Source organism: Homo sapiens, chromosome 4, assembly GCF_000001405.40.
Source record: "Homo sapiens chromosome 4, GRCh38.p14 Primary Assembly".
Lineage (NCBI taxonomy): Eukaryota > Metazoa > Chordata > Mammalia > Primates > Hominidae > Homo > Homo sapiens.
The window spans coordinates 17,656,488-17,668,540 of record NC_000004.12 but is presented as its reverse complement, the minus strand read 5'-3'; the positions used below and the strand labels follow the sequence as shown (position 1 = coordinate 17,668,540).

Below are 12,053 nucleotides of genomic sequence, written 5' to 3'. Positions count from 1 at the left end.
CAAAAAACAACAATAACAAAAAGAAAATTGTGGTAGCAAAAAAATTGCTATGGGAACTTCAAGAGGAGAAGGTATAATTGCAACAAAAAAGATTGTGAAGGCTTCATGAGGAAGTAACAGTTGAATAGGGCCTTGAAGAATAAGTAGGATCTGGAGATTAAAGGGTGCATCAATTAGGATTTGATCACAGAAACAAGCTACTAAGAATGATATAGGATATGAGATTAAATTTAGGAACTGACCTAGCATAATTGAAGGAGACAGCTAAACACTTTACGTTCAACTGTTGCTTCTTTATCTGGTGCTGGGCCTAAATTCAGCAGGGCGGGCCGCTGGAAGGAAAGAAGGACAGAAGTGAACTGAGGAAGATCAAGAACGAACTGCAGCCCACAAGGCTGGGCTTGAACTGTGTCAGTATCTAAAGCCAACAAGGCTCCACCTTTGCTAATGCAGGTGACCTGTAGGAGAATCAGGCATCCTTCATCACGGAGCTAGACATGCACCTGCCTGGGGATAGGGAGAACCCTGAGGAGGATCTGGCAGGTGTGGGAGGAGCTTCAGGCCTGGCTGCTGCCCCAGGAGCTGTACACACAGGCCCAGGATAGAGAGAACTAAAAGAGAAACCAGCAAGAGCTAAAGGAGCTGAGAGCCCAGCACCTGCCCTGGCCAATAAGGTGAGCGAGTAGATCAATAATGACATGTGAGAGCTGCAACAGCACCAGGTGCCCTGCATTCAAGCATCCAAGCATGCAAGCATAACAAGGAAATGACTGCTGCTTCACTTCCATCTTCTATATTTTATGCAAAGTCACATGGTCCAGAGTATGTAGGGAAGAAAGTCCTGGGAAGTGTAGTTCTGGCTTAGCAGAGTTAACTCAGAACATATCCACCCCAGGGGGAAGATAAGGGCTTAGGGAGAAAAGCTGCGGGAGGCAGAGCAGATGTTTACTCTCTCTCAGGCCATCACTTTGGAGTGCCCCAGGACAGGTCCTCCTGGGCACAGTGGGCAGTGGATTCCCAAGTGCCATCTCCATGATGATTCTCTGGAAGTGGGCATCACATGGTATTCTGCTACATTTAGAGGCAATGCAAATGATTTAAACAGAACGTGAACTTATGAATCATAAAGGCACAAAGGGCTTCTAAAGCAGAACAGGAAAACACTCAAAGTTTGGGTGATGGCTGTCTCCACACGCCACCCTCCAGCCACATGCCCAGGGGATTTTCATGACAATGCAGCAATCCCAGGCCCTTCTCTCCATGGGATGTAAAGTGGGGGAAGAGTGGGTGCTGTGGCTTACACCTGTAATATGAGAACTTTAGGAGGCTGAGGCAGGAGGATCACTTGAGCCCAGGAGTTTGAGACCAGCCTAGGCAACATAGCAAGACCCTGTGCCTACAGGGAATGTAAAAAGTACCCAGGCATGGTGGGTGTATACCTGTAGTCCCAGCTACTCAGGAGGCTGAGGTGGGAGGATCACTTGAGCCTCGGAAGTCGAGGCTCCAGTGAGCCATGATTTTGCAACTGTACTCTACCCTGGGTGACGGAGTGAAATCTTATAAAACAAAACAAAAAACAAAAAAACAAAAAAACAAAAAAAAAAGTGGGTGTAGGGCAAGTATGGGAGAGAGTGGTCCCCCTGCTATCTGGAGTGGCCCGTGACATATTTGTGTTTATTCATTTAGTAATGACTCGCATGTGCCACACACTGTTCTAGGCATCAGGGAAACAGGTGAGCAAAGCCCCTGCCCTCATGGAGCTTACCTTCCAGTAAGGTAAACAGATAATTAAAAAGTGGACAAGTCAACGTTAGGCCGTGATATGTATTGTGAGAAAAACATAGAGCAAGGTGAGGAAAAGAGAGTGAGGGGGGTGAGATTTTAGAGAAGGTGTCCAGGGAACAAAAATCCCAGGGAGTCCAGGCATGGTGACTTGCGTCTGTAATCCCAGCACTTTGGGAGGCGGAGGTGGGCAGATCACCTGAGTTCAGGAGTTCAAGACCAGCTTGGGCAACATGGTGAAACCCCGTCTCTACTAAAAATACCAAAAAAAAAAAAAAAAAAAAAAAAAGAACCAGGCACAGTGGCATGCACCTGCAGTCTCAACTACTTGGGAAACTGAGACAGGAGAATTGCTTGAACTTGGGAGACAGAGGTTGCAGTGAGCTGAAATTGCGCCACTGCACATCAGCCTGGGTGACAGAGTGAGACTCCATCTCAAAAAAAAAAAAAAAAGAATTCCAGGGAATAAACTTGAGTGTTGAGTGTTCCTTAGGTACCTAATACTGTTCTAAGGACTTTACATTGTATCAGCTCATTTAATCCTCATGAAAACCTAAGTAATTTTCCCAAGGTCACATCGTTAATAAGTAAAAGATCTGGCATTTAAACACAGGTCGTCTGGTAGCAGAGCCTAAGCTTTAAGCCAGGGATGAGCTGCTGGTTGCAGTGAGTGAAGTGAGGGAGCAAAGAATGCAAATATCAGAGGGAAGAGGGAACAGCCAGTGCAAAGCCCTGAGCCAGGTGCATGCTTGTTGTTTGGAGGAGTAAAACCAAGAGTTTGGTTCTGCACATGTGGTAGTTTGAGAAGCAGGAGAGGAGGAGGCTTCAGCAGAGAAGACTAAGAAGCAGCAACTGGGGGGCGGGGGGAGGAGAAAGCCCAGGAATGAAGGCTGCACAAAGGAAGGAATCATCAATATTTCCAGTTCTGCTGGGAGTCCCCGTTAGTGCAGACCCAAGAATCGACCATTGGATTTGGCAATGTGGAGGTCTTCATTGGTCTTGACATTGATGGCCTTTTATAGATAATACAGTATGTGGAAAGGCAATAAAAGCAGTTTTGTTCCAGATCAAGGGTGGATGGGAGCCCAAGGCCCTACCCTCCAGCCTCAGCTCTGCCCCTTCCTACCCCTGAGACACCTCCCAGGATCCCTGGAACACAGTTTCACTACAGATATAAGCCAGCCCCTTTGTTTCACAGTTGATGAAACTCAGGTCCAAAAAAGGGAAGAAGCTGGCTCAAGGCCATACAACTAGTTAATGAAAAGCACAGGTTACAATTATCACTATTTCGTGAGACAAATCTGTTCCTACCCTGTCTTATACTGTTTTCATGGACAGTGTGGTTATGACAAATAGAAAAATCAAAATAACAAGGTCTTTTTCACCTGTGTATCTCTGTGGGAAGGAGAGAATGATAACATGAGCAAATTCAACTCAGAAAATATTCAGAAGCCTCATTGTTAACTAATCGTTCCCATATTCTTCTCCCATACCCCATTTCTGGTCATTCAGCAAGTTCCATGTTTTCTGATTCTACATAATGGGACACAGCAGACTACAAACTCTTAAACGGATATAATAGTAACACCATTCACTCACACTTACTGACCACTAGCCATGAGCCAGCATTGTTCTCAGGTCCTCACAACAGCCCCGTGCAGCAGGCTTAACAAGGAAACAAGGACCTCTCTCTGAGGGTTATGCATGGAACCATACCAGGAAGTGGTCAAGAGTTCAGTCCCCAGGGTCCTATTATCCGGTTGCATATTTCATTTCCACTCCTCCCTGATGGTGGCACCCTAGCCAGGTTACTTCCCCTCTTTATGCTTTAGTTTTGTCAGCAGTGTGAAATGCTTCATAGACTGAAAAACAGGATACAGGGCTCAGGGCTGGCATTAATCATAGTAAGCCAGGCACTGTTCTAGTCACGTCATCATCACAAGCCTTGGCATCCCCTGCAAGCAGGGCACCGATAGTGGGTTGCTGGGGGCTCCCTCTTCTCTGCTCTCTGATTTGAATAAGCCACAGGTTGAATCATGAAGCTGTACTTAAGCTCATCTTGCCTTTTTTTTTTTTTTCTTTTTCTTTTTTGGCCTTAGGATCCATGCTTGAAGCTGGATGAAACTTCGCCGAGAGGAGAGGAGTATCAAGATAAGTTAGCAGCTGAAGAAGGAACCAGCAGTGATGAAGAAGAAAGGTACAGGAGGACATGCAGACTTCTGAGTGCTCCATTGAATGAGGACTCAGATGTGGAAGGATTCATCCATTCATTCATTCTATCCTCAAGTATTTATCACTGCTCCTTGCAGCATGCTTGGGGAGGCAACAAGCATATCTTGTATGTCTTCAGCACAGCTATGGGCTTCACATAAACTGTGTTACTTAATTGTTACAACAACCCAGAGAAGCCATTTTTTAGCTTAAGAACCTGGAGCTCAAAGAAGTTAGCAAACCTTTCCAAGATTCAAACTTGCACTGGTCCAAAACCTCTGCCCCTATGTTTCCAAGTGTTCTTTAATTAGGGGGTATAAGGAAGCTTTGTGATCCTGAGGAAATCCCCACCTATACCACCTATGTCAGTCAGCTATTGCTGCTCTAACAAACACCCCCAAATATCAAAGATTTAGCTCATAGATGAGCTACCCTTATGATTGGCTCTATCAGGCTCTGCGGGTATATTAGGTCGTTTCCACACCGCTATAAAGAATCCCCCAAGACTGGGTAATTTATAAAGGAAAGAGGTTTAATTGACTCACAATTCTGCTTGGCTGGGGAGGTCTCAGGAAACTTACAATCATGCCAGAAGGGGAAGCAGGCATATCTTACATGGCGGCAGGTGAGAGAAAAGTGTGTAGAAGGAAATGACAAACACTTATAAAACCATCAGATTTCATGAAAACTCACTCACTATCACAAGAACAGCATGGGGGAAACGGCCCCCATGATCCAATCACCTCCCACAAAGTCCCACCCTCAACACGTGGGGATTATGGGGATTACAACTCAAGATGAGATTTGGGTGGGGGCAAAAAACCTAACCATATCAGCAGGACTTACATGAGCTTGACTCCTGGGTGAGGGTCAGGTGTTATTGCTCTGTCACAAACTACAGTTTGTGTGTGTGTGTGTGTGTGTGTGTGTGTTGTGAATGGGATTGTGTTCCTGATTTGGCTCTCAGCTTGAATGTTGCTGGTGTATAGGAATGTTAGTGATTTTTGCACATCAATTTTGTATCTTGAGACTTTGCTGAAGTTGTTTATCAGCATAAGGAGATTTTGGGCATAGAAAACTATGGGTTTTCTAGATATAGGATCATGTCATCTGCAAATAGGGATAGTTTGACTTCCTTTCTTCCTATTTGGATCCCCTTTATTTCTTTCTCTTGCCTGATTACCGTGGCCAGAACTTCCAATACTATGTTGAACAGGAGTGAGAGAGGGCATCTTTGTCATGTGCTGCAAACCTATTTTTTAAATGGACAAAATACTCAAACAAGCACTTCCCTAAAAAAGATATATGTGAGGCCGGGCATGGTGGCTCATGTCTGTAATCTTAGCACTTTAGAAGGCCAAGGCTGGTGGACTGCTTGAGCCCAAGAGTTCAAGACCAGCTTGGGCAACATGGCAAAACCCTGTCTCTACAAAAAAATACAAAAATTAGCTGAGCGTGGTGGCACATGCCTGTAGTCCCAGCTACTCAAGAGGCTGAGGTCGGAGGATTGCTTGAGCCTGGAAGGTTGAGGCAGCAGCAAGCCGTGGTCACACCACTGTACTCCAGCCTGGACAACAGAGCAAGACCCTGTCCCAAAAAAAGAAAAACAAAAATATGTGAGTGGCTCATATGCACATGGACATGTGGTTAACATCATTAGTCATCAGGAAATGCAACTTACCACCACAGTGAGACACCATTTCCCACCCACTGGAATGGCTAAAATTAAGAAGTCTGACAACACAAAATGTTAGCAACAATCCAGGGCAACTGAAACTCTCATACATTGCTGGTAGGGTCTAAAATGGTAAATCACTTTAGAAAACTATTTGATTGTTTCTTGAAACATTAAGCACATACCTACCAGCAGTTCCACTTTTAGGTATTTAAGTAAAAGAAACGAAAAACATTGCCGGGCACAGTGGCTCACGCCAGTAATCCCAGCACTTTGGGAGGCCGAGGCCGGTGGATCACCTGAGGACAGGAGTTCAAGACCAGCCTGGCCAACATGGTGAAACTTCATCGCTACTAAAAATACAAAAATTAGCTGGGCATGGTGGCACACACCTGTAGTCCCAGCCACTCAGGAGGCTGAGGCGGGACAATCACTTGAACCTGGGAGGCAGAGGTTGCAGCGAGCCGAGATTGTGCCACTGCACTCCAGCCTGTGTGACAGAACAAGACTCCATTTCAAAAAAAAAAAGAAAAAAATATATATCCACAAAAATCCTTGGGCACGTTTATTTCTAGCAGCTTTGTTTATAATAGCCCAGAAGCGTAAACAATCCAAATGTCTATCAGTAGAAAAGTGGATAAACAAACTACAATGTATTCATGTAATGGAATACTACACAGCAACAAAAAGAATGAATTGCTGACATACACAACAACATGGATGAGGCCAAAAGTCATGATGAGGAGCAACATAACCTGGAAACAAGAGAATGCATCCCACGTGATTCTGTTTGTATGATGCTTAAGCTCAGGCAAAAGTGATCTATGGTGATGGAAATCAAAGCTTTGGCTGCAAGGGAAGTTTTTGGGTAATGAAAATGTTCTTTATTTTGATTGAGATGTTGGTTTCATGGTTGTATATATTTATCAAAACTCACTGAATTGTACACTTAAGATCTGTGCACTTCACTACATGTAAATTTTACTAAAACATTAAAAAGAATAATAATAACTGAGCCCTATCCTGAGAGAAAGTTCAGCCCCCTCCCCTCTCCTGGGACTCACTGGGAGTGCTTACCTGGTGGTGCCACCTCTCACTCTTGACCGAGGCTGCTCCTCCAGTTTCTCTGGCCTCCTAACCCTTGGGCTGGTTTCATACCCAGAGTTCAGACCCAGGTATCCCTGCTTCATTGCTCCTTAAAGGTGGCTATGTTTTGCACACCTTTGAAAGACTTGAGGATAAACTAAGATAATCAAAATGATGCAGAGAAAGAAAACTTCTCTCTTTTAATATGTACAGTTTTATTTGTTTGTTTGTTTGAGGTGGAGTTTCGCTCTCATTGCCCAGGCTGGAGTGCAATAGGTGTGATCTCGGCTCGCTGCAACCTCCGCCTCCTGAGTCCAAGCGGTTCTCCTGCCTCAGCCTCCAGAGTAGCTGGGATTACAGGTGGCTGCCACCACACTAAGCTAATTTTTTGTATTTTTAGTAGAGACGGGGTTTCACCATGTTGGCCAGGCTGGTCTCGAACTCCTGACCTCAGGTCATCCACCCGCCTCTGCCTCCCAAAGTGCTGGGATTACAGGCATGAGCCACCGCACCCAGCCCGTAGTTAGTTCTTTAAGTAATTCTTACTATGTGCCAGACGCTGTTTTAAGTATAGATATTGACTCTACTAATCCTTATGGAAAAGGCAGCATTATTAACCTTATGTTATAGAGGAGGAAGATCAGGCCAAGATCTCAGTGAGATCTTTAAACTCTCTCCCGTATTGAGTGGGTTGTAGAGCTGGAATTTGGAGCTGGGTAGTCTGGCTTTTGCACCATTCTCTTGGCCACCTTCCTATGCTGCTTCTAGTATCAGACCCTTCCTTTCGGGGTCCCCATTGTCTGTCTCTTCCTTAACCCCCCAGCCTGGGCCTTCTCACCTCTGCCAAGCAGAGTGCCCCTTCTCATGGCCTTTTCTCACAGCCCGAGACCCTAAACCCCACCTCTGGAGCTCTGGCCTGATGTCCTTGTCAGGGGAAGAAGATGCTGCTCATCACCTGGCAATCTCTCCAGAGAACCCCACCATGTGGCATCCTTTCACGCTGTCAAACAAGATAAATACTTCACATCCCAATCTAAACCGATCACACTTGAAATTCTCAGCTGGTTCAAAAGTTCCGAATTAAGGAAGGGAGCTCTGGTCTCTTCTAAAGACATTTGTCAGCATCTTATCTAGAATGCAGAAACTTTTGCAGCTTTAAACTAGCATTTCCTTGTTCATGTTGCATATGTGGAGGCCTATTTATAATCCCCCTATTTGTACTTGGGGACACCAGTAAAATGTGTGACCATGCTTTGACGAGTGCAAAACACTGTATTAAAGTGAAGTGTTGTTGTCGTTTTTATAGATGCAGAAAAAGCTGCAAAATTAAGACCATAGAGATCTCTTTTTTGGAGCCCCCAAAGACCTCATATCAGTAACTCTAAGCTCTCAGTCATTCTGACAGTTGATCATCATTTATTAAGAACCCACTAAAACAGATATCAGGTGGTTCCTGCTAAACAGCTATCAGGCGGTTCCTGCTAAACAGATATCAGGTGGTTCCCGATTGTATCCTAAGTACAATAATACACTTTATATGGCAGGTTGCTTTTTGAAAGCCAAGCAAGATGTTTCTAATCCCCACTAACTGCTATCGGAGCTTTCTCCTCCCAGGCACAGTGGCTGGCACGTTATCGGAGTGGCAGTGTCATTCCTAGCCCTAGGATCTTTTGTGATTGTGGCATCCTTATCTTCAAAGGACCAAAGTGCTTCTCAAGGAGGGAAGTGACCCACAACCTCCACTGGGCTCTTTGTTGAAGGAGAAAACATCCAAAATCCAGCGTCTAGAGGAGGACTGGCAAAGCCAGAAGGCCAAATTGCAAGCCCAGGTAGGACAACCCTGGTGGGGATGTGCCCCCTTCCTGAGATCCTGCCCCCTCCTTTTTACAAACTTGGAAATGCATGCAGGGCCTGATTCACATCCAAGCTGGGAAGGCATTACAGGACCAGGGCAAAGTGGGATTCTTGGTTTTATTTATTCATTCATTCCAAACCTGTTGCAGCCAGGCACGGTGGCTCACGCCTGTAATCTCAGCACTTTGGGAGGCCGAGGGGGGCAGATCACTTGAGGTCAGGAGTTCGAGACCAGCCTGGCCAACATGGTGAAACCCCATCTCTACTAAAAATACAAAAATTAGCTGGGTATGTGGCGGGCGCCTGTAATCCCAGCTACTCGGGAGGCTGAGGCAGGAGAATTGCTTGAACCTGGGAGGCAGAGGTTATAGTGAGCCGAGATCGCACCGCTGCACTCCAGCCTGGGTGACAGAGCAAGACTCTGTCTCAAAAAGAAAATAAAAAACCTGTTGTGCTAATGAGCACTCACTATGAGCCACTGATGATTCATCAATGCACAAACCAGACAAAATACCTTACATTTTATGGCCAGGTGTGGTGGTTCACACCTGTAATCCCAGCACTCTGGGAGGCTGAGGCAGGAGGAATGCTTGAGCCTAGGAGTTCAAGACCAACCAGGCCAACATAGCAAGACTCTGTCTCTACAAAAAATAAAAAAAAATTACCGGGCATGGTGACATGTGCCTGTACTCCCAGCTACGCGGCAGGCTGAGGCGGGAGGGTCGCTTGAGCTTGGGAGTTCGAGGCTGCCGTGAGTCGTGATCACACCACTGCACTCCAGCCTGGGTAACAAAGCAAGACCCTGTCTCAAAAAAAAAAAAAAAGATATTTTATATATAATGATATGTATATTTTAGCAATGGAGGTGGGAACAGACAATAAATGGTTGACATAAGAAGTCAGTAAATCACGTAGTTCATTCTAAGGTAATGATGGCTCAGGAAAAAGAAAACTAGAGCAGGGCAGAGGTTTCTGGGAGGCTGTCCTGTGATGGGGGATGTGGAGTTGGGGGAGGTAGTACTACATGGGGCTATCAGGAGAATCCTTAGTGAGGAAGCCAGATTCGAGCAGCACCTGAGGGAGGAGGGGGGCTGCCACGTGGGTCCCTGGAAGGCATCAGTCCCCTAGTGATTTCTCTTGAAAGGTTGATGTCCCCACCCCTCTTTTCCTCCTTCCTGGCATTTGTGGCCCTAGCTGGAAGGACTGGCCACCCCCAGGTCCTTAAAGCTTGCAGCTTCCATCCCTTCAGAGTCTCTACAGACAGAGGAGGCTCAGCTGCATGGAGGTAACATTTAGAAAGCTTTTATTTGAAGAAAACATCCCAGGAAAGGCAAGGGGCTTAGACTGAGGGCAGGATGCCTTGTGCGCAGGTCTCACAGATGCAGCAGGCTCTGGAGCAGTGCACCAGCAACTACAGGGAGGACCTGCAGGCACTCAAGCAGCTCTCGGACCTGGAGAGGGAGAAGCTGCAGCGTGAGCTCCAGGAGACCACTCAGCAGAACCACGCCATGAAAGCCCAGCTCGAGGCTTCCCACCAGAGAGCCCTGCGCATGCTGGAGAAGGCCAGACATCAGGAACTCAAGGTGAGGGAATGACTGTGCCGTCTACTCTGTGCCGGGCACCTGCTAGGTGAGAACTGCCATGCACAAAGCCGTCCCTTTTCTACATGACATCCAATCCCCCGAGCATCTTTCCAGATTGTTATTATTGTATTCCCTTTTTCCAGATGAAGAAAGAGGCTCAGAGAGATTTTGCAACTTGCTCAGGGTCACACAGCTAGTAAATGGCAAAGGAAGCGGGCTAGGTCTGCTGGGCTTCTTGTGCTACGTTTCCCCACCTGCTTGCGACCTTGGTGGCATAAGAACGACTTGCTTTCATGACTAGAGCAGTGGCGTACATGAACACGCCAGGAAGTCAGGCTCAGTCCTGCAGCTAAAAACGAAGAGAGCAGCACAGAATTGAGAAAGAACAGCTCAGGCCGGGTGCAGTGGCTCATGCCTGTAATCCCAGCACTTTGGGAGGTGGAGGTGGGTGGATCACCTGAGGTCAGCAGTCCGAGACCAGCCTGACCAACATGGTGAAACCCTGTCTCTACTAAAAATACAAAAATTAACTCGGCGTGGTGGCAGGTGCCTGTAATCCCAGCTACTTGGGAGGCTGAGGCAGGAAAATTGCTTGAACCTGGAAGGTGGAGGTTGCAGTGAGCCAAGACTATGCCATTGCATTCCATCCTGGGTGACAGAGCAAGACTCTGTCTCAAAAAAAAAAAAAAAAAAAGAACAGCTCAGCCACAAAGACCTTTCCAAGGGTTTGGGAAATTGTACTGTGTTAAACAACTATGGATAATCTGGTGGGGTGGTTCAGGCATGTTTCATCCAGCGCCTTCTACCTTGTGGCCTGGCTTAAACACGGCTTTCTCAGAGGGTGTTCCCTTCCTGCCGTCTTAAGCAGTTCCTTGAAGAGGTGTCCCACAAAAACAAGGGAGCAAACCAAGGGAGAGGGAATAAAAGAGAGCTACGATGCCAGGGATTCAATTCAGGAGCAAGAAGGAAGGTTTGAGGAGTCTGGTTTTGCTGCTGGACAACAGCTCAGTCCAGGCTGCAGCAAGGAACTGAGGGCTCTGGAAGAGCTGTCTCCAGGGGAAAGCAAAACTGATGGATTCTCTGACAGATTTGGCCATGTGGAAAATTGCACTGTGTGTTTTACAAAGCATTTAGAAGTTGTAGGAAGACTTTGCCAGATAGCCAAAGGAAACTAAACAAATAAAAAATGCAGCATTTACTAATGCAAGGAAAAACAAAAAGCTGCATGAGGCAGAAGTTCAATCATAATAATTCATTTAGCTCAATAGTGAATAATATTTACATATTCTCAATAAGGAAAATATGAAGTATACTTCAATATATTAAAAATATATATTGTATACTATGTAAAAGGAATGGAAGAGAGTGAGTGAGACCTAAAATGCTGATCTACTGTAGTAGGAAGACAATTCATAGTCTCAAAAATAATCAAGATACAGTAGACTGGAAACATTGTCTTTTTAATGCTGGTAAATACAACAAGAAACAAGGAGTTGACAATGGCTGCCTCCGAGGACAGGAGACAGAGAGGGAGGAGGAAAGGACTAGGAGGCTGCTTATTTTCCTTTCTTTTAATACTATTTGGCTCTTTATACTATCTGCACATATTCCCCTGATAAGAATATAAGAGAAGCTTTAAAAAAAAGAAAGTCGAGCATTGTGGCTCACGCCTGTAATGCCAGCACTTTGGGAGGCCAAGATGAACAGACCACTTGAGGCCAGGCGTTCAAGACCAGCCTGGCCAACATGGTGAAATCCCATTGCTACTAAAAATACAAAAATTAGCCAGGTGTCATGGTGCGTGCCTGTAGTCCCAGCTACTCAGGAGGCTGAGGCAGGAGAATTGCTTGAACCTGGGAGGC

The 12,053-nt window shown here is 46.0% G+C and overlaps 1 protein-coding gene across 2 annotated transcripts in view; it reads left to right on the top strand.

Moving 5' to 3' along the window:
* Window positions 1–12,053, top strand: part of FAM184B (family with sequence similarity 184 member B) — a 152,316-nt gene that overhangs the window by 113,081 nt on the left and 27,182 nt on the right. For both annotated transcript variants that reach the window (NM_015688.2, XM_047450066.1), the window contains exons 8-10: window positions 3,882–3,979; window positions 8,454–8,583; window positions 9,979–10,191. In NM_015688.2, coding sequence (NP_056503.1) covers window positions 3,882–3,979; window positions 8,454–8,583; window positions 9,979–10,191 — 441 coding nt within the window. The remainder of the gene's footprint in view (window positions 1–3,881; window positions 3,980–8,453; window positions 8,584–9,978; window positions 10,192–12,053) is intronic.